Below are 27389 nucleotides of genomic sequence, written 5' to 3' on the forward strand. Positions count from 1 at the left end.
TCCCTCCTTTTCTTTTTCTTTCTTTCTCTTTCTCTTTCTTTCTTCTTTCTTTCCTTTCTTTCTTTCTCTCTCTCTCTTTCTCTCTCTCTCTTTCTTTCTTTCTTTTTCTTTCTCAGAGATGGGGTTTCACCATGTTGCCCAGGCTAGTCTTAAACTCCTGGGCTCAAACAAGCCTCCCACCTTGGCCTCCCAAACTGTTGGGATTGCAGGCATGAGCCACTGCTCCTGGCTCCATTTATTTTCTTTTATACTGTATTTTTACTGTAACTTTTCTGGGTTTACATACACAAATCATTACCATTGTGTTACAGTTGCCTACAGTATTCACTACAGTAACCTGCTGTACAGGTTTGTAGCCCAGGAGCAACAGGCTATACCATACAGCCTAGGTGTGTAGGCTATCCCATCTAGTTTGTGTAAAGACACTCTGTGATGTTCCCACAAGGGTGAAACTTCCTATGACGCATTTCTCAGAACATATCCTGTTGTTAAGTGACACGTGACTGTATGCTAATCGATAGCCTGCTTCTCTGGGCTTTCCACAACTGAACTCCCAATGAGAAAAAGGGAAAGAGCTCTTTTACCAAGGACCCGCCAACATGTGCCGCGTTTGCACCAAAACCGTGAAGAAGGCGGCCCGGGTCATCATAGAAAAGTACTACACACGCCTGGGCAACGACTTCCACACGAACAAGCGCGTGTGCAAGGAGATCGCCATTATCCCCAGCAAGAAGCTCCGCAACAAGATAGCAGGCTATGTCACGCATCTGATGAAATGGATTCAGAGAGGCCCAGTAAGAGGTATCTCCATCAAGCTGCAGGAGGAGGAGAGAGAAAGGAGAGACAATTATGTTCCTGAGGTCTCAGCCTTGGATCAGGAGATAATTGAAGTAGATCCTGACACTAAGGAAATGCTGAAGCTTTTGGACTTCGGCAGTCTGTCCAACCTGCAGGTCACTCAGCCTACAGTTGGGATGAACTTCAAAATGCCTCGGGGACCTGTTTGAATTTTTTCTGCAGTGCTGTATTATTTTCAATAAATCTGGCACAACAGCAAAAAAAAAAAAAAAAAAAAAGGGAAAGAAGAAAAAATTATAGCAGCTCTCTTCATCCCTCATCTTTGCTGGTGTCTCATTGTCAATGAGGCCCCTTCACACCCATCATTTGAGAGAGTCATTGCTGTCAATGCTGTATTACAGATGTTCAAAGAGAGGGTTGCAAATGCCAAGTGAGCTGTCAATGGTCTACTGCTTGTTGGTAGCTGAGCTGAGAATCAAACTAGCCAAGTAGGTTCTCTCTTCAGCCCCTTACTTCCCAAAACTCACAGACTCTGCACTTAGGCTGTTGATTTCTTTGTGTGGCAAGAGTTCAGGAGCTGGCCATTCCACTGTGGGGTCCTTTGCCAAGAAGCACAGTTTAGCCAGTGAGAGGTGGACATTGTACCATTGGGTCTCCTGGGGAGAAGCTCCCAGGCTGGTAGGAGAGGTGGAACCCCCAAGGGTCCTGGACAGATGAGTGTGGAAGGAGGAAGAGGAGACAGGACAGTTCCCACATAGTGATGAGTCCTTACCCTGCATAATGCTGGGTTCTCCCTGCCATCTGTAGACACTAGTGACCTCAGAGTCATTTGAATATTTGTTCTTTTTCTGACAGTCAGGTATGGCTGTGGCTCTGTGGGCATCTATTTTTAAATGTGGAATCCTTGTCTGACCACTGATTGTAAACCTATGTATACTTGGATAGGGAGGGGGCTGCTTCCTGCTCTCAGCTCTGTCTTTCCTTATCAGCCTCATCTTTCCTGCGGCCTGAGTGTCTGGCTGGCTTTTTTCTTTCTCGGGTGTTCTGCTAACAAGGGCCCCTTTAGTGACCAGATCCTGGTTTTGATTGGCACCAATGACGGCAAGAGAGAGTCCAACAGGATCCTACCAGTGAGCAGTGACCCAGCAGCTCAGGCCAGCTGCATGGGAGCAGGTGGGCATCACACTGTGTTCTCCTAGAAGCATCCATTCAGGGGAAATTGGGTTTGAAGTGTCCCTTTAGAAGAGACCAATGAGGAAGAGAGATGGCAAAAGGGCCTCAGGCAGCCTGGGGAATGACTGTGGTAGGGAGTTTCTTACAGGTGACATGCTTTTTATATATGTTTATTTGTAGCCCCAGCTAGTCCCTCCCTAAATATTGTAACCCCTTCCTTACTCCTCATGCTTGTCATCTCCTGGAATGTCCCTCACTCCCAGCTTACTTGGCCTATTCCTCCTTTTCTTTCAGGTCCCTGCTCAAACCAGAGCTTTCACAGAACTTACTCTAACCTCACCTTATCCCCAGGTTGAATTCCTTGGTAGGCATTTGGGGTATTAGTATTTCTCCTTCAAAGCATGTGTCACAATGGTAATTTCACAGGTAGTTGTCTCATCTTTGATGCTGATCTATCTCTGTCATTGGTCAGGAAGCTCTGTGAGGGCAAGAGCTCTGTGTCTTTTCATAGCTGTATTCCAGGGTCGGTACATATGATCTGGCACATAGAAGCTGCTCTTTTGTTGTAAGAATAAATGAATGAATGAATGGATGCATTTTCTGACCTCTACCTGGGCACCATCCTTTCCTTTCTTTTCCCATTTATGTTTGGCTCTCCTAAAAGATCAAAGAATGGCTCTGTCCCTCCTTTGAAGTCCTTTAGTACTTCCAGTTCTCTCTCCTGCTCGCTTCACTTTCTATGCCTTGTACTTTTGGAACTTGGCATGGCCTGGCTGCCTGCACCTGCACCTGGGTTCAGGGCTGGACTTTTCCTGTGGGTGGGTTCACTTCCAGACTAGAACAGAAGCTTCCTAAGGGCAGGGACTCTTCCTGGGATACATTCAGGTGAAAAAACTTGGCTGAATGCAGGAATGAATGAACACAGGCAAAAGGCGAGTTGCTCCAAGCTGCAGCTGACAGCTGAGCTCTAAGTCTTGGGAGGCATCCACAGCAGACAGCCCCTGCTTTCAGGTTCCTCGTAAGAATTCCTGCTTCCTTTGGGCAGGCATTATACTGGCCCCAGGACATAGCCTTATATAGTTTGCAGTCCTGGGGGATGTGTGGGGGAAATGGGGAAGACCTGTGGGGATGCTGTCCAAATAATGATTCTTTGTCTGCAGCTTCAGTGGGAAGAACAGTTGCTGATACGGAAGGAGGGGAGGCAGACCTCTGAAGCATTGAGTGCAAAGGAACAGGATGCTCACATTTAGGCAGTGGGTGGTTGTCTAGCAGTGGGCAGGGAGGGCCTGAGGCAGACCAGAGTCCTGGCAGGGTTTCTGTGGTCCTCTGCCTCCCTGCACCTCCCCATCAGAGCAAGGCCCCCCTCTTTGGGAACAGTCACTTTTGGCTGCTCTGTGGCCTCTAGAGCCAGCCCCTGAGAATACCCCACAGCCCTCCCTCTGAACCCTGGCATGGGCTGCAGGGCCAGCTCTGCTGCTGGTTTCCTGTATGACCTTGGGCAAGTCATGCCTCCTCTCTTGGTCATCTCTGTTCTGAGCCCTGGCTTGCTGTTTAGACATGTGTTTCCAGATGGGTGAGCTGAGTCCCCAGGAAGGTCAGGGTTTGATGAACTCCTTGGAAAGGGTTCTCTAGTATCTTCCCTTCTGCTGCCTCTGGAGGGCCCTGCATCAATACTGGGAGAGGGACAGGGCAAGGAAATAGCTCCCGGTGAGATCCCTTCCCCCAGTCTCAGTTTCTTCCTCTTTACAGTGGGGGTAACAGTGGACCTGGGGGCTGCAGGCTGTGGAGGGGGAGTCAGGAATGTGGGTGGGTGGGTGGCTGTCCTTGTGGCCAAGAGATTAGGATTGTGCTGGTTTTTTTCCAGTGACACCCAGCAACTCTCTGTCCTCTCAAGAATGTTCTCCAGGGAGAACAAGACTTGACTGATTCTTCAGAAGAGTGCTGCACCCATTTTACAAGCGGACAAGCCAAGTCCTTAGAAGGCATGGGACTAGTCCAAGGATGGGTGGCAGGTGATCTGAAGCCTCTAGGCTCCTAGCCCCAGGTGGCCTGTTCCCTCAATGGAGCCACTCCAGCTCTGGCAAGGGCAGGTGTGGTGGCGCTGCTGGTGCCTGCTGTGGGAGTACAGTGGGCCTTTGTGCCAGGCGGGCACCACCCCCTGGCTGGCCCCTCCCCATTCGCAGGACAGCTCTTACCTGCCGGGCCGCCGCCCCAGCCAACAGCTCAGCCGGGTGCTCCTTCCTGGGCTCCACGCCCGGAGCTGCTTCCTGACGGTGCAGCCGCAAGGCATCGCAGGGGCCCCGCGCTACTGCCCTGCTCCCTCAAAGTCCCAGGTCCCCTCCCCTGGTGCTGATCATTAACCAGGAGGCCGTATAAGGAGCTAGCGGCCCTGGCGAGAGGGAAGGACGCAACGCTGCCACCATGGACAGTAGCACCTGGAGCCCCAAGACCACCGCGGTCACCCGGCCTGTTGAGACCCACGAGCTCATTCGCAATGCAGCCGATATCTCCATCATCGTTATCTACTTCGTGGTAGTGATGGCCGTCGGACTGTGGGTATGCAGCGGGTTCTGGGATGCGGGTGGGGAGGGTGCGCACAGAGGAGGAGCAATGGCCTCGCTGAGCTGCAAGGGGCAGTAGGCTTAAGTGTCGGTGGAGGGGAGAGGAAATGACTTGGAAGCACTTTAGAAGCACTCAGAGGCACAGCATGAAGGGAGGAGGGCAAGCAAGGATGAGCAGAAGTGAGAAGGGTGCCCAGGGCAGCCTGCCAGGAAGGACCAAGGAGGATACCTGAGCCTGTGAGCAGAGAAGGAAGGTGGGGGTTTGAAGAGACCGCTGGAAAGTGTAAGGGGCAGGAAAGCGGCTGCTTAGAGCTACAGGGAGGGCTCTGGGGCTTGGGAGATGAGCCTCTAGCAGGTGACTACTGTCCTACCTTTTAGTCATCCAGTTTCAGATGGGAAAGAAATGGTGTGGAGTGGGAAAGCCACAGCCTCTGCCAGCCCCAGAGATGGGGATGCTGAGGTGGCAGACAGAGGGATGCTGACCCATGCCCCACTCCTGGGAGAGGCTAACCCAGAGGCCTTGTGCATGAGGATCCCAGGGGCTGGATCAAGTTAGAGATGAGAAAGATGGGTGGAAAAGGAGGAGGAGGAAGACCTGGGGGTGACCTGGCACTGGGGAGAGGGAAATGTGTGTGTCTCCTTTTGGGACTCTGGGGACACAGCAAACCAGAGAAACTTGTTCTCAGCCACCTGGAACATGGGCATTTCACTTATGACAGACTGTGGCAGGCCCAACAACTAGAGGAGGAGATGTTTTAAAAGTGTGCAGGACCGACTGTGGTGGTTCACTCCTGTAATCCTAGCACTTTGAGAGGCCAAGGTGGGAGGATTGCTTGAGTCCAGGAGTTCGAGATCAGCCTGGGCAACATAGTGAGACTCTGTCTCTACAAAAATAAAAAAAATTACAAAAAATATATAAAATGTTTGCAGATGTTCCAGCCATTCTCGTGATTGTTATGGAGGTGGAGGTGATAAGCCCAGGGAGGCTGCTGTAGCAGCTGGTGATTGTGTTGAACTCTTTTGACTTAGAGGAGAGGAAGGTAGGCATGAACACTTCTGTGGACACAGAGCTTTTTCAGGGACAAAAGGAAGTGTTTTTTTTTTTTTTTCCAAAGGAATTGTAGAAACTAGATGTGGCAGAATGCCTCCCAAGTGTCACATGGGGTCAGTATGGCTGACTTTTCCTCAATACTCTCAGCTTCCCAGACATAGTGGAAACTGACCAACTAGGAGCCAGGATACTCAAGTTCACTACTGGCTTTCACATGGTTCAAATCATGGAACATTGGGTAACTTCCCTCAGCCTCCAGTTTACTCAACTTTAACATAGGTACACTCTTATCTATTCTAATGACTCCCCCATGGTTGTGGTGAGGATACGCAGAGGTGAATCTGAAAGCTGTTTATGGACTCTAGGATTAAAAAAAACTACTATTGTCATTTACCTTCCATGGTATGATCTGGGCTCTGAACAATGTTTATCCTTTTAAGTAAAATGGGCAGCAGTGGTCAGGTGGGTAGTATATTTTTACAAAAGCCACAAGACAGGGAAGGCCAGAATGCTAATCCCCGTTTTACAGAAGAGGAAATTGAAGCCTCATGTGGTTGTGATTTGTCTAAGGTTACAATAGATGAAATTGTTCCTGGAACTCAGATCTCTTGACTCCTGATTTTTTATGGTACCAGGCACTCTGCCACTGTGACTGACTTCCTCCTTCCACCCCACCCCAGCTTATAAGTGCTGGAGCCAAGGTGTGAGCCCGTCATCTGCTGGCTATACAGTACTGCCTGTTTCCCAGACAATCTCTGATAATATCGGTTCTCTTAACCAATCTCATTTTAGCCCTGCCAGTCTAGTAGGTGTTTATACTTTTTAAATGGTGTTTACATGTTTCAAGTATCTGTGAATCAGTATCACTTGTCCTGCTAAATGCTACTTAATAGCCTGTTTAGTATTTGTCTATGTTTAATCTTCCCCCATTAGACAATGCCTCTGGACCCTGGTCATTTAATGCATTGGATTTCTTCCAGTTTATCCTCCTCTGTCTGCTATTAAAGTGGCAAGAGTGGCTTGATTCAGGGGTGGCCACTCTGACTCCTTCATGATCTCTGGGCTGCACAGGCAGAATGGTCCAGGCCCATTGTGTTTCTTCAACTTAGAAAAGACCCACACAGTCAATGTCCCTCTGTCACCTTCTCTATCTCTTCCAACATTATTTGGTTCTGTTTTGCTCTTTTACAATTCTGCCTCCTCCAATCATATTTTAGAATTTGGCTTCTTACTTCTTCAGAGTTAATTTCCATTTTTCTTTCACCACCTATCAGTTTGTTTCTTAGGGAATTCTATATCCTTTGAAGCTGGATCTCTGACCTTATTCTTCCTGGAAGAGTTCATCAAGCTATCCTGAAATCCCCTCAAGCCAGGGGTTGTTAAACTATGGACCATGGGCCAAATCTGTCTCACAGCCTGTTTTTGTATGGTCCATAAGCCAAGAATGGTTTTTACACTTCTCAAGGGTTGTGAAAAAGAAATAACAAAACAAGATATGAAGAATTTGCAGTAGAGACCCTGTATATTCCACAAAGCCTCAGTATTTACCATCAGGCCCTTTTTCTTTAAAGAAAAAAAATTTACTGACCCCTGTCTTATGCAGTCATTTGAACCGACAGCATCACTGAATGATTGAATTGGAATGGCCCTTGAGGGAGCCCAACCTTTCTGTTTTACAGATGAGGATCGGAGAGGGTGACCAGAAGTCATTCAGATGAATCAGTCCCAGAGCTGGGACAAGAATCAAGGTCTTATGATGCCAAAGCCAATGCTCTTTCCACTATTCTACCTTTCCCACTCCCCAAGACACTTGCCTTTCTGGGAATACTCCCTCCATGGTCCTTACTATCATTGCATTGTTGTGACAGTGTCCTGGTGGTGCTGAATTCCTTTGCTCTTTTTTTTTTTTTTAAGTTGGTGCTTTTCTTTAGATCATTTGACAAAATCACCTTGACTAGTTGTCAACAGCCTTCACCTGAACACTTCCAGTAGAAACTCTCCCAAGTGGCTTTATTTCAATCTCTGGACAGCTCTGACAGAGAGGATATTCCTTTTGGCTCTGGGCTCAGACGCGATGTCCTGGAACTTCTCTCATTTTGTCTGGTTGTGTCCTATGTGGGCCACACCAAGCATCATGTCTGTCCCACTTTACATTTCAGAAGACAACAGGCCACACTTGAGGCTTCTCTCCTCCAGGCCCAACATCCTCAGTTTCTTAAGTTGTTCCTCATCTGGACAGAGGCCTAAAGTTCTTCCTTTCTGCTCAATGATATTTGTATTCCATGGAGATAGAACCCAAGTAAACCCCAAACCAAAACATTGTGGGTCAGTAATTGTCCTTCTTTTACCCCAGCAGCTTGGAGTTGGGAGTTCATTCTCTTGTAGTTGTAGAGTGGACAGGTGAATGTAACACTGTTGTTTACAAAGTGGTGTCTGGAACTTTAAAGTTTTCCTTTGAGCCTCTTGTGCTCACAGAACAATGATTTTCTGTGCACAAGGCATTATGCCCAAAGCATTATGTGAAATTAAAAATTTGTAATATGGTAACACAAAGTAAAAAAAAATTGTAATGGCTGTGAACAAGGCATAAGTGAAGTCATCTGGGTGTTCACAGACTTTCATTTGGAGAAGTGAGGAGGCTGTAGGGAAGGAGGAGGTTTCCATGGGGGAGTGTCAAGTAGGGTTTCATGGGGGAAATGGATTTTGAGGGGCCTTGAAGGATGAATAGGTAGGATCTGGGCTTGCATAGATGAGGAGATGAAAATTCCAGAGAAGAAAAGACTTGGTGCATACACTCCTCTCTTCACCTTTTGTCCCTCCCCATCATCTTTCCTGAATTATTTCAGCTCCCCACTCTAGTCTCTGCCCTCACATTCTTCCTCTAAGCTCTTCATTTCTGAGACCAACTGGGGATATCAATCTTCAACTTCACAGTGACCTTCAGAATGGCTTTTCCTTGGTCAGTTGCTACAGACCAGGTCCTTGGGAATTTTTTCTGTTTTGGCCCTTAGCTACCTTTTCTGATTCTTAGGTCTCTTGCTATTCCCAAAAAAACTGCTACAGAGGACTTCACAGTATCTCCTTTGGGAGGAAGAGCCCTGCCAGGAGTCCAGAAAGACCCAAGCCATGCTCTCCCGGGTACTGCCCAGCACATGGGGGTGCTCAAGAAATCTATGTTGACTGATGGGACACAATAATGGCCCTGCTTCCTAAAGGACTAAGTTCAATACATCGTTGCAGACTGAGCACCTAGCAAAATGTTATCTGTCTCAGGCATGTTTGATGAATAAATTACAAGTGTCTAAGTGCCTGAGATGTCACCATCAGGAGTTAATGCCTTTGGAATAGTGATTTGGAATAGTGATGCTTTTTAGCCTCAGTGGTCACCTATGAAAATGCAGACATCGGCCGGGCATGGTGGCTCATGCCTGTAATCCCAGCACTTTCGGAAGCCGAGGCGGGCAGATCACCTGAGATCAGGAGTTCAAGATCAGCCTGGACAACATGGCAAAACCCTGTCTCTACAAAAATTAGCCAGGCGTGGTGGTGTGTGCCTGTACTCCCATCTACTCGGGAGGCTGAGGCATGAGAATTGCTTGAACCTAGGAGGCAGAGGTTGCAGTGAGCTGAGACTGCACTACTGCACTCCAGCCTGGGCAACAGAATGAGACTCCATGTAAAAAAAAAAAAAAAAAAAAGGTGCCACCTCTGACAGGGTTAAGTCACTATCAGCTACTAACATTATTAGCAAGTGTTCACTGAGAGAAGCCAATAACACAGAAGAAGAGGGAAGATGGCCAGGGGCCAGGAACAGAGGCACTGACCCCATTTTCTGCTGGAGGACTGGCCCTGGGCTTGAGCTGGACCAGAAATAATCCGAAGGCTTAGAGGCAACATCCCAAGGGATCTGTGGGAGGAGCTGGTCATCGTATATTGAAGATTCATGTCATTTTTCTCCTCATGAACCCTCAGTGGCTCCCTACTGCCTATGCAATAAAGCCTGCACTTTTTAGCCTGGCATTTGTGAGTGGGTGTTCTGCCCCACTTCTCACCACTCTCTCCATTCAAATGCCTCAGCCAGGCTCATCAGATAACACTGTTCGCCATTCTCTCCTTCTCCACGCTGGGTGAGGTTCCACCTCTAGATCTGCTGTTTCTGGAATCTTACCACATTCCTCCCTCTTCTCTAATAAAATTCCACTCTTTCTTCAATCAAGATTTGCTGAAATACTGCTCTCTCTGTAAGCCTTTCCTGGCTCCCTGGTCTGACAAAGTCCTCCCCTTCCTCTATACTAACACAATAGTCATGATATATTGGCTGGGTGCGGTGGCTCACTCCTGTATTCCCAGCACTTTGGGAGGCCGAAGCAGGCAGATCACTTGAGGTCAGGAGTTTGCGACCAGCCTGGCCAATATGGTGAAACCAGTCTCTACTAAAAATACAAAAATTAGCTGGGCGTAGTAGCACATGCCTGTAGTCCCAGCTACTCAGGAGGCTGAGGCACGAGAATTGCTTGAACCCAGGAGGCAGAGAGAGGTTGCAGTGAGCCAAGATCGTGCCACTGCACTCCAGCCTGGGTGACTGAGTGAGACTTTGTCTAAAATAAATAAATAAATAAATATATATATATATATATATAATCATTATATATATATAATCATTATATATATATAATCTATATTATATATAATCTATATCTATATCTATATCTATATCTATATCTATATCTATATCTATATCTATATCTATATCTATATATATGATGATTCCAGCAACCTGCTACCTACACCCTCAGAGAGGAAAGACTTGAATTTGTCTGGTCTTTTATTTAATATTTAGTACAAATGCCTTGCATTCTTAGAGCATTTTTTCACTTTTCTGGTAACAAAGATATAACTCACATCCCATATGGTACTTTTTAAAAGTATGATATTTCTTTTTCTTTTTTTTTTTTTTGAGATGGGTGTTGCTATGTTGCCCAGGCTGGTCTTGAATTCCTGGGCTCAAATGATTCTCCCACCTCAGCCTCCTGAGTAGCTGGGATTATAGGCACATGCCACCATGTGGCTGTAATCCCAGCTACTCAGGAGGCTAAAATAAATATAGCATTCATTAGGAACCTCAATATGCTTGTAAGAAAGGCATAAAAAGTTCCATTCCTGCCATTTAACAGACAAGCAAGCAGATCCAGGTGGAGTGACTTGCTGGAAGTGATACTGGAAGCTAATTTCGCACTAGCCCTACAGTAAGCTGTATGTATCTTCTGAGCCTCAGTTTCCTTGTCTGTCAAATGTAGGTTCCTGCCTCCTTCATCTAAGTCTTTTGAGGCTGCAGGGGAAGAAGGAATGTGAAAGTGTTTCAGAAAGTGGAGTGGGTAGAAGAAGGTGCACGAATGGGGAGGTATGTCCTTTTGGCTGGCAAGGCCACTCTTCTAGTTTTCGATTACATTTTTGACCCTTTCCTCCTCAGGCTATGTTTTCCACCAATCGTGGGACTGTTGGAGGCTTCTTCCTGGCAGGCCGAAGTATGGTGTGGTGGCCGGTAAGTTTTCTCTGAAATGCTATTTACATAACTGCTTAACTGATACTCCCTTTAGGAACTCATTTTCTTCTTGGCTTTGGGTGGTGGTGATTCTAGGATTCAAGGATCCCAACCAGATTCTTGACAGTGAGTCTCATGCTCATCGGGTCTCCTGGGCACCCTTAATCTCTTGTAGTAAGGGAATAGCCTTTAAATAAATCACCCTTAGAGTCCTTCAATAAAATACAAAGTTGGTTCAAAGCCTATCATTGGTCCATAAATCCATAACCAGAATATTAGTTCTCAAATGCGCTGGCCCAAGGAACATATCACAGGGGTCAGAGGCTCTCCACTGCTGACATCTCACTTGCCCTTTGCCCCTCCATCTGCCTTTATCCCAGTCGCTTTGTGCCACAGGAAGAGTGGGCAGCAGAGAAGCTTCTGGAAGAAGGAACAACTTGTATTGACCTGGGTTGATATACCTGAGACAGAGAGGGTTTGGGTTGTCACCCACAAGAAAAGTAGGAGAAAATCAGAGCTCATAAAGTCTGAAAACATACTGGATAGAGGAGAGACTGGTTTTGGGCATTCCTGGGGTTTAGGGGGCTTTGAAAGGAGTGGTTATGACCTGAAACAGGTGAAGATTCAGAAACTCTGGAAACAGACTCTGTTCCTGAAAACTGAATGAGGCCCAGAGAGAAAAACAGTTTGTGTGTTGGCTTGAGGATAGAAGCAAGGGACAATCAGAGGGAAGGAGCAAGGACTCCAGGATTGAAATTACAAGAAGAGTCAGCTTACATAGGGATCTGGGCTGGGAGGTCCCCGGAAGCCTGAGTCATGCTTGAGGCAAGCCAAGGCAACTCATCTGAGTAACATGAAACCATGAAACTGTACCTTACGTAACTGTGGGCTGGTTGGTGGCCCAGGATTCCCTTTTTATGTGGCACCAGGGTTTGCCACGTTTCACTCACAGCTGTCTGTGCGGAGATGTGATGGTAGGAAAGCTGTGAAGCTCAGGGGCTGAGCTTCGAAGGGGAATTCCCCACTCTTTGGATATTGGCAGCAGAAATTACACAGAGAAGTGAGGCCCCAGGTACACAGCCCAGTGAGAGACTCTTGTTTTGGAAGAGAGTTTGATCACACCTACCAGGACTACTGGCAGAGCCAGCTCCATGGGATCAGCTCCCTTAGATTCAGAAAGAAGCATTCCAAAGGGCAGGGAGTGGGAACTGCACAAGGAGCCACAGGATTTGGCTTGTTCCAGCTTTGTGACATTGGGCAATTCATTAATCTCTGAGTCTCTGAGAGTCTCCTCTATAATGTGGAGCTGGTCAGATAAGGAATCTCAAAGGCTCTTCCAGGACTAAAATTCTAAGTTTCAGCTAGGCACAGTGACTCACACCTGTAATCCAGGCATTTTGGGAGGCAGAAGTGAGAGAATTGCTTGAGCTCAGGAGTTCAAGACCAGCCTGGGCAACATAGCAAGATCTTATCTCTACAGAAAAATTAAAAACTAGCTGGGCGTGGTGGTGTGCACCTGTAGTCCTAGCTACTTGGAAGGCTGAGGTGGGAGGATCGCTTGATCTGGGAAGGTGAAGGCTACAGTGAGCCATGATTGCATTACTGCCTTCCAGCCTGGGGGACAGAGTGAGACCCTGTTTCAAACAACAACAACAACAACAAAAACCCCAAAAAACAAAAACAACAACAACAAAAATCCCAAACCCAACAACAACAAAACAACAACAAAATAGTTGACAAACTTTTTCTGTAAAGGGCCAGATTCTAAATATTTCTAGCTTTGCTGCTATGCAATCTCTGTCACAACTATTCCACTCTGCTGTTGTAACACAAAAACATCCAAGGAAAATGGATGAATGAATGGATGTGGCTGACTTTATTTGCAAAAATAGGTGGAGGGCCAGATTTCTTGTTTTGAGGACACACACAGACAGTCTCAGAACAGAGCCTGGCACACATTAAACCCTCAGGTTTAGCTCTTGTTCTTCTTTGCAACTGAAACCTATTGAAGGACTGTCATATCACTTATCTGATTGAATCCTCAATGATCTAGTGAGGTAAGTAGAGTGAAGATGATGATTAACCCCATGGGTTGCCCACGTTTACACAAGATAATGACAGAGCTAAGACTTCCTCTGATCTTCTGGTTATTCAGGTCTCTTTCTCCTTGTCTTTTGAGATGGAAATTTATGAGGCCAATTGGTGTGGCCTAAAGATTGGTCTGAAAACCAAGAAATTATTTCATTTGGGGCCGACCAGAGACCCTGATGAAAATTTTCCCTGAAGAAAGAGGACAGGTTCTCAAACTTTTCAAGTCCTCTTGGGTAAAATATATCTGATTTTATCGTTATGTTTCTAAAACCTAATGATCAGGTCAAAGTCCAGCCACTTATGATGTCACCAGAGGGGCCAAAGGGTGTCTTAGAAAAACCTGGTAGTCCCAACACATGGGTGGGGAGCTCATGAATTGGAGAGGAAGAGAGGGAACCAGGCAACTGGACATGAGAGAGGCAGGGATGCACTCCAGGAAGAAGTGAGAAGGAAAGATAAGTACTTGACTCTTCATAAGCCTGGGGGAAACAATTCCTACCTCTTCTGGCCCAGGTCCATTTGGCCCTCTCTCCCTGCTCTACTTGCTTTTTACCTGCATGTGCTCTTACTTATCCCAGTGCCCTGTGATGAGAGCTAGGCCTACGCTTTTCTTAATTTTTTTTTTTTGGCCTCACAACACCAAGGCCTTGCACTGCAAGAAGGCACTTGACAAATATGGGCTGAATTAAAGAGAAATGAGGGAGAAGAGGGACATGTCCCCAGAACCTCATGCTGGTCCCCCTTAGTGGTGTCACCTGAGACCTGAGTCTATATTCTGGCCTCTGGTGCAGGGGCCACACAGTATAGACAGTGGTAAGAATTCAGGAGGTTAGAAGGGTGCTGGGTCTAAGTCAAAGCCTGCCTCCAGCAGTGCTCCAAATTTCTGTTTTTATGCATAGAGAAAAATTGTTGTTGTTTAGGCTCATGGGAGTAAAACTGGAAAAGGAAGCCTTAATCAGAGTTCCCAATTTCAGCCCACACTGGACTCCTTGGTAAAGTTTGGTGTGGCTATGTTTCCTCACTCTCAGGCCATTTGTTTTCTCGGTCTGAGTCGAGGTTTTGCAAAACTTGGTAGTTCCCCATTGGTATATTTTGGGTGGGAGCTTTTGGGTTATCACAGCAGTGTCTGCTTTGCTCTTTCTTCTTCCTCCTTCTTATTTTTCCTCCCTTTTCTTCTCTTCCTATTACTCATTCTCCTTTTCCTATTCCTCCACCTTCTCTTCCTCCTTTTTATTCTCCTCCTTCTCCTCATTCTTTCCCTCCTTCCCTTTCTTCCTTCTCTTTCCCCTCTCTTCTCTTTTCCTCTTTCTCTCCCCTTCATCCTTCTCTTTTTTTGGTGGAATCACTTCCCTCCCATTCTTCATAGCTTAGTCTCTCCTCTAAGTAGCTTCTCTGATTAATACACAACCACTCACCACTCCATGTATTCTTGGTGTTTCTAGGCATCAATTGATTGATGTGTAACCAAGTCCCTGCCATCTAGTTAGTACCTAAGCATCTGGCTTCTCCTTTCTCACTGGCTGCCTTCCCAGAATTTTCTAACAGATTAGTGCTTCTGTAGACAGAAAAAAAATACCATTTTTTGTAATCCGTATTTCTGGTTGGTAGAAGTCGGAAGAGGCAGAAAGGTGGTGAAACTATCAGTTAAAATGAATTCGTTGTATTATTCATATTAGAAATATATCTGGGATTAAATTAGTTAATACATGTAAATCTCTTAGGACACTATATAGTTAATGCTGTCCAAGGGATGCCTATCATGATTATCATCATTATAATTGTTTCTCAGCCGGGTGCGGTGGCTCACACCAGTAATCCCAGCACTTTGGCAGGCCGAGGCAGGCAGATCGCCTGGATTGGGAGTTCAAGACCAGCTGGCCAACATGATGAAACCCCGTCTCTACTAAAAATACCAAAATTAGCTGGGCGTGGTGGCAGGTGCCTGTAATCCCAGCTACTTGGGAGGCTGAGGTAGGAGAATTGCTTGAACCCAGGAGATGGAGGTTGCAGTGAGCTGAGATCGCACCATTGCACTCCAGCTTGGGCAACAGAGCAAGATTCCATCTAAAAAAAAATAAAATAGTAATTGTTTCTCATCTCCAGCTTCTCCTCCTTAAGCTGTGAATTGAATCATTCATCTATTTATGTAGTAGTATTCTCTCATTCCACAACTGCATGTTGATACCTACTATGTGCCAGATGCCATGTAGGTGCTGATATATCCATGTGCATGTGTGTGTTTATGTCCCTCACATTCTTACAAAATATACGTAAAATTATCAATAATAGTTAAGTGCTCAGAAGAAAGTGTATTTGAGTCAAGGGTGAGGTTCAGTGGGAGGGAGAAGGGTCTTCCTTATTCAACATAGGCTCAAAGAGGGCCTTTCTGAGGATTGAGCATTCAGGTTGAGATTTGAATGATCAGAAGGAGCCAGCCATGTGAAGATTCTGGGATGAGTAACCCAAGTGGAAGGAACAGAATGGCCAAAGGCCCTGATGTAGGAAGAAGCTTGGGATATTTGAAAAACTGAAAGGGGGCCAGTGTGGGGTACAGATGGTATATTTATTTATTTATTTATTTATTTGAGACAGGGTCTCACTCTGTTGCCCAGTCTGGAGTGCAGTGGTGCAATCTTGACTCACTGTAACCTCCACCTTCCAGGTTCAAGCAATTCTCCTGCCTCAGCCTCCCTAGTAGCTAGGATTACAGGCTTGTGCTACCAAGCCTGGCTAATTTTTTTGTATTTTTAGTAGAGACAGGGTTTCACCATGTTGGCCGGGCTGGTCTTGAACTCCTGGCCTCATGTGATCTGCCCACCTTGGCCTCCCAAAGTGCTGGGATTACAGGTGTGAGCCACTGCACCCGGCCAAGATGGTATATTTAGATCAGGTGCTTTGAGTGAGTGACCCTGAATTGCTGATGATTCCAAAGATGGGCTCATCTCGATGAGAGGATGGATTGGTCTTCAGCCTCCTTAACCTCTAAACGCCAGTGGAAGACCTCACCTGCCTTTTGTGCCAAAAACTGGTGGGAAAATGTCAGTGGTTTCCTGATTTCTTGCCCCTTTGTTTCTTTGGGCAAGGAGAGAAGTTCATGAAGGTAATGAGTGAAAGAGGACCATTGTCCATGGGAATAGGAGTTGGCCGAGTAAATAGAGACTGTGATGACTCTGGAACAAAGCCTGTGCCTAAATATTTACTAGAGTCTCAGAAATAAAATACTCTGAATATAGGAGCTCCATCTGATTTTCTGTCCCAATCCAGGAAGTGTGATCCTTGAGATGGCAATGATCCAAGATTAAATCTTTTCAAACTTCCTCTGTGGAAAGAGAGAGCTTCCTAAGAGAGACACTAATCATGATTAAAGACAAGTTCCTAGAAGGTGAAGAAGGAATATGAAAACATGACACAGATGAGCACATTCCATTCCTGAGTTTACAGTGGGATGGGTAGGAGGTTCTCACCCCACTGTGCCCCTTCAGGGACATTCAGAAGGGAATGTCCTGGGAAAAACCAGAAAGTCAGTGTGTGCTACAGCCTCTCCCTGTGCCCCTGGGACTTCAGTCACCTTTGGCTATAAGACCTTGGGCAAGTCACTTCAACCTTCTGATCCTTATTGTCATCTGTAAATGAAGATCAGAATAATACAAACCTCACAGAACTGTAGTGGGCATTAAATAAGAAAAAGCAAATGAAATACATGGTCCAACCCTTGGCCCAAAGGTGGTGCTGTAAAAATTAGCATTCTCCTCTCCCTTTCTTATTCTCCCAGGATGGGGCTCTCAAACTGTGGTACCCAGACCAGCAGCATCAGCAAGACCTGCACTCTTGTTAGAAATGCAAAATTTCTAGCCTCAAACCAGACCTACTGAATCACAAACGCTAGCAAATGGGGCCCAGTAATCTGCGTATGTTTTTTGTTGTTGTTGTTTGTTTGTTTTTTGAGACACAGTCTTGCTCTGTGGGAGTGCAGTGACGTGATCATAACTTACTATAGCCTTGATCTCCTGGGCTCAAACGATCCTCCCACCTTAGCTTCCTGAGTACCTGGGACTACAGGTGCGTGCCACCACGCCTGGCTAATTTTTGATTTTTAGTAGAGGTGAGGTCTCGCTATGTTGCGCAGCCTGGTCTCGAACTCCCGAGCTCAAGCAGTCTTCCCCCTTTGGCCTCCCAAAGTGCTGGGACGATAGGTGTGAGCTACCATGCCTGACCAGTCTGTGTTTTAAGTCCTCCAGGTGATTCTGATTAGGGTTGCCAGATTTCACAAATAAAAATACAGGATGCCCAGTTAAATCTGAATTTCAGGCAAACAATACATACCTTCCTGTCTTTTTTTTTTTTTTTTTTTAGCATAAGTATGTCCCATGCAATATTCGGGACATACTTATGCTACAAATGTATAATGAATATATTATCTGTGAATCTGCATATTCAAGATAGGCAGACTTAACTGTATATCTCGTGTTCTGATTATGTTAAAGTTTAAGGACCACTATTGGAGGATATCCCAAGGGAGGAGTCCAGCACAGCCTAGAGAAGGCATGGAGAAGACGCCCTGGGATCTCCCGATATCCCTTAAAGAGAAGGACAAAAGCAGGGAGCAGGAAGCCATCTCCAGAATTCTGGACACTCTGGGTCTTAGATGGTTTGTTAACAAAGAAAAATGTTTCCTGAAATTAGCTGACTGCATTTTCCATTTGGGCTATGATGACCTTGTTTCCTCAAGGAGAAAACGATGACTCTGTTTCTTTCAGGAAATTCAGGGTAATCTATAAAAACATGGGCTGTGTAAAAGCATCAATACTTCTTCAGAATAGCATGTCTTTGTGGAGCAAAACTTTCTTAAATTTTGTCACATCATTAAAGTCCAGTAATACCCTTTAGGGTAGGCCAAAAAAGATTATTATCCTTGGTTTACAGTGGAAGAGACTGAGGCTAAAAGCAGTAAAGTGACTGCCTCAAGGTCACATAGTTTGCTATGGCGGAACCAAGATTAGAACCAGGTTGGAAGGTTCACAGTGTGCTTTGAAGGAGGGGAGGAAAAGGATGTCCATGCCATTTAATTGTACTTTCAAGTATGATTATTGATACAGGATCCTTTTTAAAAATCCCCTGGCTGCCTCTGATTGTGAAGCCAGTTGTCCATTGCCCTAGGCAATTCTTTTCATTGTTTTTTGAGATATGATCTCACTCTGTTGCCCAAGCTGGAGTGCAGTGGTGTGATCACAGCTCATCAAAGCCTAGACCTCCTGGGCTCAAAGGATCCTCCTTCCTCAGCCTCCCGAGTATCTGGGACTATAGACAGTGCCACTGCACCCAGTTAATTTTTTATTTTTTTGGAGAGATGGGGTCTCACTATGTTGCCCAGGCAGGTCTCAAACTCCTGGATTCAAGTGATCCTCCTGCCATGGCCTCCCAAGGTGCTGGCATTACAGGCATAAGCTACCGCACCCAGCCCCCAGGACAATTCTTGATGCCTGGATTTGTGATCCTGAGTGTGCACATGCTGACTTACTGTCCTTAGGGTGTGAAAGTAAAGATAAAATTAATATGTAAACGTGAATCACTTTCTTCTTCTGGGCTACAATTTTATTTTCATTGGAAAATAACAAGGTCAGCTGTAATCATTTCCAAGGTAATTCCAGCTCTAACATCACATGAGCTGGGTTAAGATGTCAATTTTCTATTTCCAGGCACACAAAACATAACTGTAGCTAGCACTCAGTGACATTTTCACGTCTTTTTCTACATCCCCCCAAAAAACACATAACTTACATGCCTACTTTGCTTTCAGTCCTCAGGCTCTGCTAGTGAATCTGAGACAGCTCTGGAATTGTTGTTCCTTATTCTTAAAGATTTTAAAGGATTGTGTTCTGATTATAAAATTATACAAACCCCTTGTGAAAAAACTGGAAAAGTATTTTAAAAATGCACTCATTGTTTTGTCTTCCCAAGATAATCATTGTTAAATTTGGATATATATATGTATACACAGGTACACACACACACACACACCTATGCATATATTTAAACATTTTGGGGCTCATAGGGTATATAGGTTTGTATCTCCTCATGTCATAACGAATTCTTCAAAGCTATAATTTTAATGGCTGCACACTATTCCATCATATGGCTGGGTGCAGTGGCTCATGCCTATAATCCTAGCACTTTGGGAAGCCAAACTGGGAGGAAAGCTTGAGGTCAGGAGTTTGAGACCAGCCTAGTCAATATAGCGAGATCCCATCTCTACAAAAATTTTTTTAAAATTCTATCATAAATATGAACTTGAATTTATCCAATTGTTTTTCTATTGTTGGGCCCTTACGTGGTTTCCAACATTCCTCTGTTGTAAATGACATAGCAATGAACATACTGATGAAATCCTTGTATCTAAGTCTTTGTCTGCATCTCTGATAATTTGCTTAAAACCGAGTCCTAAAAATAGGGTCATATAAGTGGAAGGAGACAAACTTTTAAATGATTTTAACGTGTACCAACCGACAACTTTCCAGAAAAATGGTATCAATTTACATCTCTACCAGAAATATGTGGGAGAGCCTATTTATTTGCCAACACCAAGTATTTAACATTAAAAAAATCCTATTTGACGGACTAACCTATAAGGTCAGTTCCCCTTATGGTCTTGTTCTTATGAACACTGAGCTTGTGGGTTGCCAGACTGATATTTCACAGAGCCACTTCATAGTCTCCAGTATACCCTGCTGTTCTCATGGGCCCTGGGTAGGCCTGGCAGGCTAGGTTTATTGCCTCTTCTTCAGGAGAGAGTGGTCCTTGGCATGTCCCTGAGAAGAGTCCTGACTCCATGCCCCAGTGGGAATAAATGCAGCTCTCAGACATTTGGTTGCTATGGTTTCTGTTGTTTCCCCAAGTGGAACATTCAAAGATTTGATATCACTTACTCACTCAGCAGATCTTTACTGAGTCCTTGCCATGTGCAAAGAATGTCCTCTGTTAAGTGGAAGCAGGACTGGATTGCAGAGAGCCTGGAGTGCCTGAAATTCCTCTTCTGAATTTCATGCCACAGCTGAGAGGCAGAAGTTACAGTGAGCCGAGATCATGCCACTGCACTCCTGCCTGGGCGACAGAAAAAGACTCTGTCCCAAAAGTGGGCTCTTTGAAGGCTAGAAGGTATTTGGGGCAGCAGACTTGTGTGGAAGCAGTTATCAAAGTGGGGATGTGACACGCACCAGGAGAGGGGAACAGACAACACATGAGGTAAGAGATTGGAGGATGGAGATCGGCTCTGGATGGTGTCAGTGGAGAGGTGGGACTGGGCTTTATTCTGCAGATGAGGGAAGTGTTTTTATAGACAGAGCTTGATGAAGAGGGCATTCCAGGAAAAACGAAAATGTCATAAACAAAAGCAGGAGGCAGGAAAGCACAGAGCACATCTTGGAAATTGAGCCAGTGTGGTTTTGCCAGAGTGGAGGGGACATGGCAGGGCATGGCAGGGCTGCTGAGATTGGAGAAGGTGGGACTGACTTTATTGCAGAGAGTCTGGAGTGCCTGTAATTCCTCTTCTGAATTTCACGCCACAGCTGAGAGGTTGAAAAGTGCTCTGGTCAACAACCTTTGTTGTCTCTGGTGGTTGAGATCACCTCTGAGAACTCTCACAATCCCATCTCTTGAGGAGATAAATTGTTTGCGGAATGATTTCCCACCAAGATTTTGAGTAGCTTCAGTGGATTTCCAGTCGAAATATCTTTGCTTTCATAACTTTGCTGCGGCCTGATGGTATCATGGAAGTCTTGATTCTACCAAGCCTTCCAGTTCCGGGGCCTCCCTGGTGAGATCAGTCAAAGTTTCTTTCACTCCATGTTCTATATGTTGGCATGTGGTTGAAGTGAAAATGCCGCCCACTGGGCAGCACAGGGGCCATGGTTATACACACACACACACACACACACACACACACACACACACATATATACACACACATATATATATACACACATGTATACACACACATATATATACACACACATATATATACATACACACATATATATACACATACACACACACACACACACACACACACACACACACACACACACATATATATATATATTTTTTTAAGAGATGGAACTTTGCTCTTGTTGCCCAGGCTGGAGCCCAATAGCGCGATCTCGGCTCACTGCAACCTCTGCCTCCCAGGCTCAAGTGATTCTCCTGCCTCAGCCTCCCGAGTAGCTGGAATTACAGGCACCTACCACTACGTCTGGCTAATTTTTTTGTATTTTTAGTAGAGATGGGGTTTCACCATGTTGACCATATCTGGTCTTGAACTCCTGACCTTAGGTCATCTGTCTGGCTCATCCTCCCAAAGTGCTGGGATTACAGGTGTGAGCCACTGTGCCCAGCGGGTAACAGATCTTTAAAACTCTGGCAGTTAAGCAGGGAATTTTGGAGAGAGCCTCTTTCACTTTTTGTCCTCCAGATCTTAGCATTTTTTGGAGGGGACACGGTCTTATTCTGTCCCCCCAATTGCAGTGCAGCAGCATGATTACACTCACTGCAACCTTGAATTACTGGGCTCAAGCGATCCTCCCACCTCAGCCTTCCAAGTAGCTAGGACTACAGGTACATGCCACCATGCTTGGCTAGTTTTTAATTTTTTTGTAGAGACGGGGTCTCGCTATGTTACCCAGGCTGGTCTTGAACTCTTGGCCTCAAGTGGTCCTCTCACCTCAACCTCCCAAAGTATTGGTATTGCAGGCCTGAGACACCACACCACCAGGCCAGATTTTAGCATTCTAATTGTGTAGTTACAGACTGCATCCCTGCTTCCAAAGAGTGATGAAAACAAATTTAAGGAGGAAACAGTGGCTTTCAATACACTCTAGGGCAGGCTTCTCAAACTTTGTTGGGCATAAGAATCACCCGAAGAGCTTATTACTCTGATTTCAATAGGTCTGGGTGGGTCATTAAATAGAGTAACACCTGTCTTTGGTTCGAGAGACAGATGCAATTCCTGCCAGCTTCTGACTTCTAACATTAATTGTCAGTAGCGGCTGGCTGCGGTGGCTCATGCCTGTAATCCCAGGACTTTGGGAGGCTGAGGCGGGCAGATCACCTGAGGTCAGGAGTTCAAGACCAGCCTAGCCAATATGGTCAAACCCTGTCTCTACTAAAATTAGCTGGGCATGCTGGCATGCAGCTGTAGTCCCAGCTACTTGGGAGACTGAGTCAGGAGAATCACTTCAGCCTGGGACGGGGAGGTTGCAGTGAGCTGAGATCATGTCACTGCACTCTAGCCTGGGTGACAGAGCGAGACTCTGTCTTAAAAAAAAAAAAAGTCAGTAGGGAGAAATGATTTTGCCTGATGTTTTTGGTTTAGGTAGTTTTCCCTTTAGAGGAGGCACAAGGGGGAAACATTAAATTTGTGCCAAACCCTGGAGGGACTAAAGTAAAAAGAATTTAAGTGATAGAGCCATTGTGTCTTGTTAAGGCAAACCAAATTGGTCTTTTCAGGAATCTAAATTGCAATGGGAGGAAATCTGTTCTTGCTGAATGTTCCAAATAACAGAGAGGCAGATTCTTTAATAGTGATGGCAATTAGAGGGACTGGCCTAGGTCCTCCGTACTGCCAAGAACTCATGGCTGAGTGACAGGTTTCAAAGAGGATTTGAAGGTGGATGATGTTAAAATCTTACAGGAAGTCAAGAGGGGCAGCTTGCTTCATTTTGGATGGCTCATGTTTGGAATAGTCTATTCAGGTCTGAGGTCCACTTTGGGGACAGAGATGGGGCTCAGGGCAGCAGAGAACAACAATGGTGATGAGAATCAAGTCCATTGTCGATGAGGAACAGACACATGAGAAGAGGAACAGACACATGAGAAGTCTGGGGAAAACTGAAGCAGGGAAACCATCCCTGTCCTCAGATATTGGAAGGGCTAACTTGTGGAAGAGAGATTTTACTTGTTCTGTTGCACTATAAAGGGTGGAAGCAGGACTGATGGGTAGACTTCAGCTCAAATAAAGAATGACTTTTTAACAAGTAGAGTTGTTCTACCACAGATTCAGCTGCATTGTAAGGTAGCGAGTTCTCTGTCACTAGAGGTATGCATTAAGAACTGACCATCACTTGGGAGGTGTTGCAAAGGGGACTTAAGCTGTGGCATCCACAGACCCATTCCACTCTGAAAGATTCAATGATTGGTTAATTTTTCCGTACATCTCCCCTCCCACCAACCTTCCAGGATAGGACATCTACGTGGTAAAATGTGATTAATTCCCTAAAATCAAAAGAATAAATAGCCTTTCTGCATTTTGTGATGTGACATTATGTTATTTTCCCAATTCTCATGCTCTCAGACCTGTTGGGTTTGGTCAGACTCAGTTCATCTTGCACAACAAGCAGCAAAAGTATCCACATACTTGTAATGGCCTTTTGAGTCCCATTGGAGGGTGAGGAGGGTTGGTAAAGTAGTAAGTGAGAGGTGAGATCAAGTTGGGGAAATTTTAGATAAAGTCTGAAATCCTGAATTCACAGGAACATGGGGGAGAAATTCTAGAGAAGGACGTGATGATTGACGGCACTGGGTCACTCCCTGCATGGGAGTGGTGCCCATTCTCAAATGGGCATGAGCATGGATGAGGAGTGGACAGAGAAAATGTTTGGGAAATTGGCATGATGAACGCATTGTTGGTGAGTTCCAGCAACAGGAGTGGCAGTGTAAAAACCTGGCAGGGGAGTACAGGTCATAAAACAATGGTGTCTGTCTTAGTTGGCTCAGGCTGCCACAACAAAATACCACAGACTAGGTGGCTTAAACAACAGAAATTAATTTTCTCATAGTTCTAGAAGTCAAAAATTGAGGTGCCTTCAGGGTTGGCTTCCGGGGAGGCCTCTCTTCCTGGCTTGTAGACGGCTGCCTTTTTGCTGTGTCCTCATATATGGCCTCTTTACTGTGCATGTATATGGGGAGAGAGAGAAAGAGATTTCTGGTGTCTCTTCTTATAAGGACACCAATCCTATCAGATTGGGGCCCCACCCTTATGAGCTCATTTAACCTTATTATCTCCCTAAAAGCCCTATCTCCAAATACCATCACCTTGGGGGTTGGGGCTTTAACATAGGAATTTTGCAGAGAGGACACAATTCTGTCTATAACAGTATCCATTGTAGCTTTTGCTAAGTGTCTTTGAGGGTGAAGTAATTATCCTCTTGGGAGGAGAAAGGAGGGAAGGGACACTGATTGAGAATCAGCTGTGTCAGTCACAACTGGTTCATTATTTCATTTGACTCCTGCACCAACCCTGCCATGAGAGAAGACGGAGGCTTGCAGATGTTCTAATCACCCAGAGAGTAAGAGGTCAAGAAAACATTCAAACTTGAGTTGTAAAGCTCATGCTGTCTCTGCACTTGAGGGAACTTTACCTTGAAACCTTGCTATATTCCTAAGACAGTTTTTAGGCCTGTAGCTGTCAGGAAGACCACCTGACAGGCCCTTTTGGGTGTCCAGGAAAGTCTCTGAATAGGTCAGTGTTATGATCAGAGTTGTGCTTTAGGGAGGTTGCTTGGCCATGTGGGTGGGTGGGGAGGTGACTGATGGAAAGGAGAGAATAGAGATCCTCTAGCAGCCCGCTACTTGGTCCTGTTGAGAGATAGTGACAGGCAGCACAAGGGCTATCTAGAAAGAGCTAGGTGGCCATAATATTGTGAAGGCAGAGTCAGAGTTTTGGTAAATGATTAAGTGTAGGTCATGGGGTAAAGAGAGGGAGTCCAGAATGAGGAAGGTTGTTCCCCTAATAGAAATGAATAGAACCTGGGCTCAGGACATTCTGATACCCGAACTCTCCTGGCCTCATTCCACTCTCTTCTCAGATAGTGAGTGGGGACTTCAGGACAGCCTGACATTGCTTAAAGGACAATGTCCCTGTTTGGGAGAGATATTGGAGAGGACTTTTTGAACTTATGACTCATCTAATGCAGTTAATAATTTCTGGTAATTATGTCCTTAATAGTACAGCATTAGGCTTAATTATTTATCAAGCAAGAGGTGATAAATGAAAAGATAGTGGGTCAGGGCAGGTAGGCCACTTGCAGAATGAAACTTTTGATTAAAAGTGGACTGTTAGGCTGGGTAGGGTGGCTCACATCTGTAATCCCAGCATTTTGGGAGGCCAAGGCGGATGGATTGCTTGAGACCAGGAGTTCAAGACCAGCCTGGGTAACATGGCGAACCCCCGTCTCTACAAAAAATACAAAAACTAGTCGGCTGTGGTGGTGCGCGCCTGTAGTCCCAGCTACTTGGGAGGCTGAGGCTGGAGGATCACTTGAGCCTGGGAGGCAGAGGTTGCAGTGAGTTGAGATGGACCACTGCACTCCAGCCTGGGTGACAGGAATAAAACCCTGTCTTAGGAAAAAAAAAAAAAAGTGGACTGTTATCCCCCTCAAGCTTTGAGCAGAAGGAGGTAGATGTCTCTAAACAACCTGCCTTCCCCTAGTTTCCCCTTCTTAATGAATGGCGTCCACCCAGTTACTCAAGTCCCAAATCTAGGAGTTACCTTTGATTATTCTGTCCCACATTTCCCACATCTAACCTATCAACAGAGCCTGCCAACTTTGTTTCTAAAACATACTCCCTAATCTCTACGCTTGCCTTTGTCTCAACTGCTGTCACCCTAGTCCAAGCCACTGTCCCCTCTCACCTAAGCCAGGGATAGTCTCCCAGCTGGTTGTTCTATTTTCTTCCTTGCCCCCAACACTGCAATCTATACACAACTTAGAGCAATTTAAAAAAGCAAATTAGGTCCTGTCCCTCTCCTGCTTAAAATCCTCCAGTGTCATCCCATCTCACTTAGAATAAAACTAACTTTTTTTTTGAGTCAGGGTCTCACTCTGTCACTTCAGCTGGAGTGCAGTGGCACGATCATAGTTCATTGAAGCCTGCAGGTCCTGGGCTCAATTGATCCTCCCTCCTCAGCCTCCTAAGTAGGTAGTACTACAGGCACGCACCACCATGCCCAGCTAAGTTTTTACATTTTTTTTGTAGTGGCCGGGTCTCACTATGTTGCTCAGGCTGGTCTCCAACTCCTGGTCTGAAGCAATCCTCCTGCTTCAGCCTCCTAAAGTACTGGGATTAGAAGCATGAGCCACCACACCCAGCCTAAATGACTCTATTTTAAAATGTTAAGATCACAAATCATTATCATATATCAACCTTCTTTTTGCTTCTCAACTGTGCATACCTGTGTCAGGGGGTCTTTGCTTAGGTGGAATGCTATTCCTGTGGTCTCTGAATGATTAACTTTTTTGTCATTTAGATCTCAGCTTAAAGGTCTGAATTATAATAGTAATTCTTTAATATTAGAGAAAGTCCATAGAGTCACCTTCTCAGACTCTTCAATCTAATCACTCTGTCATACCCTCTATTCTCTTCATAGCACTTACCACTCTCGGATCATTGTTTTTGTTGTTTATTTATTTATGTTTACAGTATTTGAATATAAGCTTCTTGAGAGTAGGGATTTTGTCTGTGTTATTCACAGCTGTTATTAGTGCTTAACACGTGTAGTAGATGCTAAGTTAATATTTGTTGAGCAAATGTATTAATGCACCTGCACCAACCACTGTCTCCTCATTGTCATTCTGAGAACTTCTTCTGGCTAAGCCTTCAGAAATCTCCCTCTCCCCTGACTTAATATTTGGCACTAAGCACCAGCTGCCTTATACTGGGAATAGGGGCTGGTATAGTTAGAACAGTTTCTTGGCATAATCTCTTTTGGGAAATAAGCGTTTTGTTCCAGGTTTGGACCATCTTTGGGACATTAGATAAGTAACTACAAGCCACTCTTCATCTGCTTAGCAAGAATGGGGATAATTACACTTGTTTGGTTCTTATCAAATGCTGCTGTACCTTCTCCTCTTGGATACAGAAGGACTTTAGAACTTTCTGGAGTTCTTTTTGGCCTCAAATGCAATTGAATTGCTGACACAGTATTATGATTGGTTGTGCAAGATCCCTCTCTTGCTTTACCTGATACTTTCTTTTTTTGTCTACCATTCACAGTCTTATTCTCCTTTCCCCTTCCAGTCTTCCACTCTTGGGTATTTGATACATGTGCTTCCAATCTGTCTTCTATAATCTGTATTTAGACATGTGCGTATCCTTGAAAAATGCAGTGTTTTGTGCACGTGTC

The 27389-nt window shown here is 45.3% G+C and overlaps 1 protein-coding gene and 1 pseudogene across 3 annotated transcripts in view; both read left to right on the forward strand.

The window, feature by feature from the left end:
- Positions 576-1055, forward strand: RPS17P16 (ribosomal protein S17 pseudogene 16; annotated as a pseudogene).
- The window catches only part of SLC5A1 (solute carrier family 5 member 1), a 69769-nt gene continuing 46751 nt past the window's right edge, over positions 4372-27389 (forward strand). For 2 of the 3 annotated variants that reach the window (NM_000343.4, XM_011530331.2), the window contains exons 1-2: positions 4372-4527; positions 11054-11125. In NM_000343.4, the coding sequence (NP_000334.1) occupies positions 4393-4527; positions 11054-11125 (207 nt within the window). In that variant the 5' untranslated portion in view covers positions 4372-4392. Of the gene's footprint in view, positions 4528-11053; positions 11126-20248; positions 20456-27389 lie in introns of those variants that run through there. The other variant, NM_001256314.2, reaches the window with a different exon arrangement.

This window comes from Homo sapiens, chromosome 22, assembly GCF_000001405.40.
Source record: "Homo sapiens chromosome 22, GRCh38.p14 Primary Assembly".
Classification (NCBI taxonomy): Eukaryota; Metazoa; Chordata; class Mammalia; order Primates; family Hominidae; genus Homo; species Homo sapiens.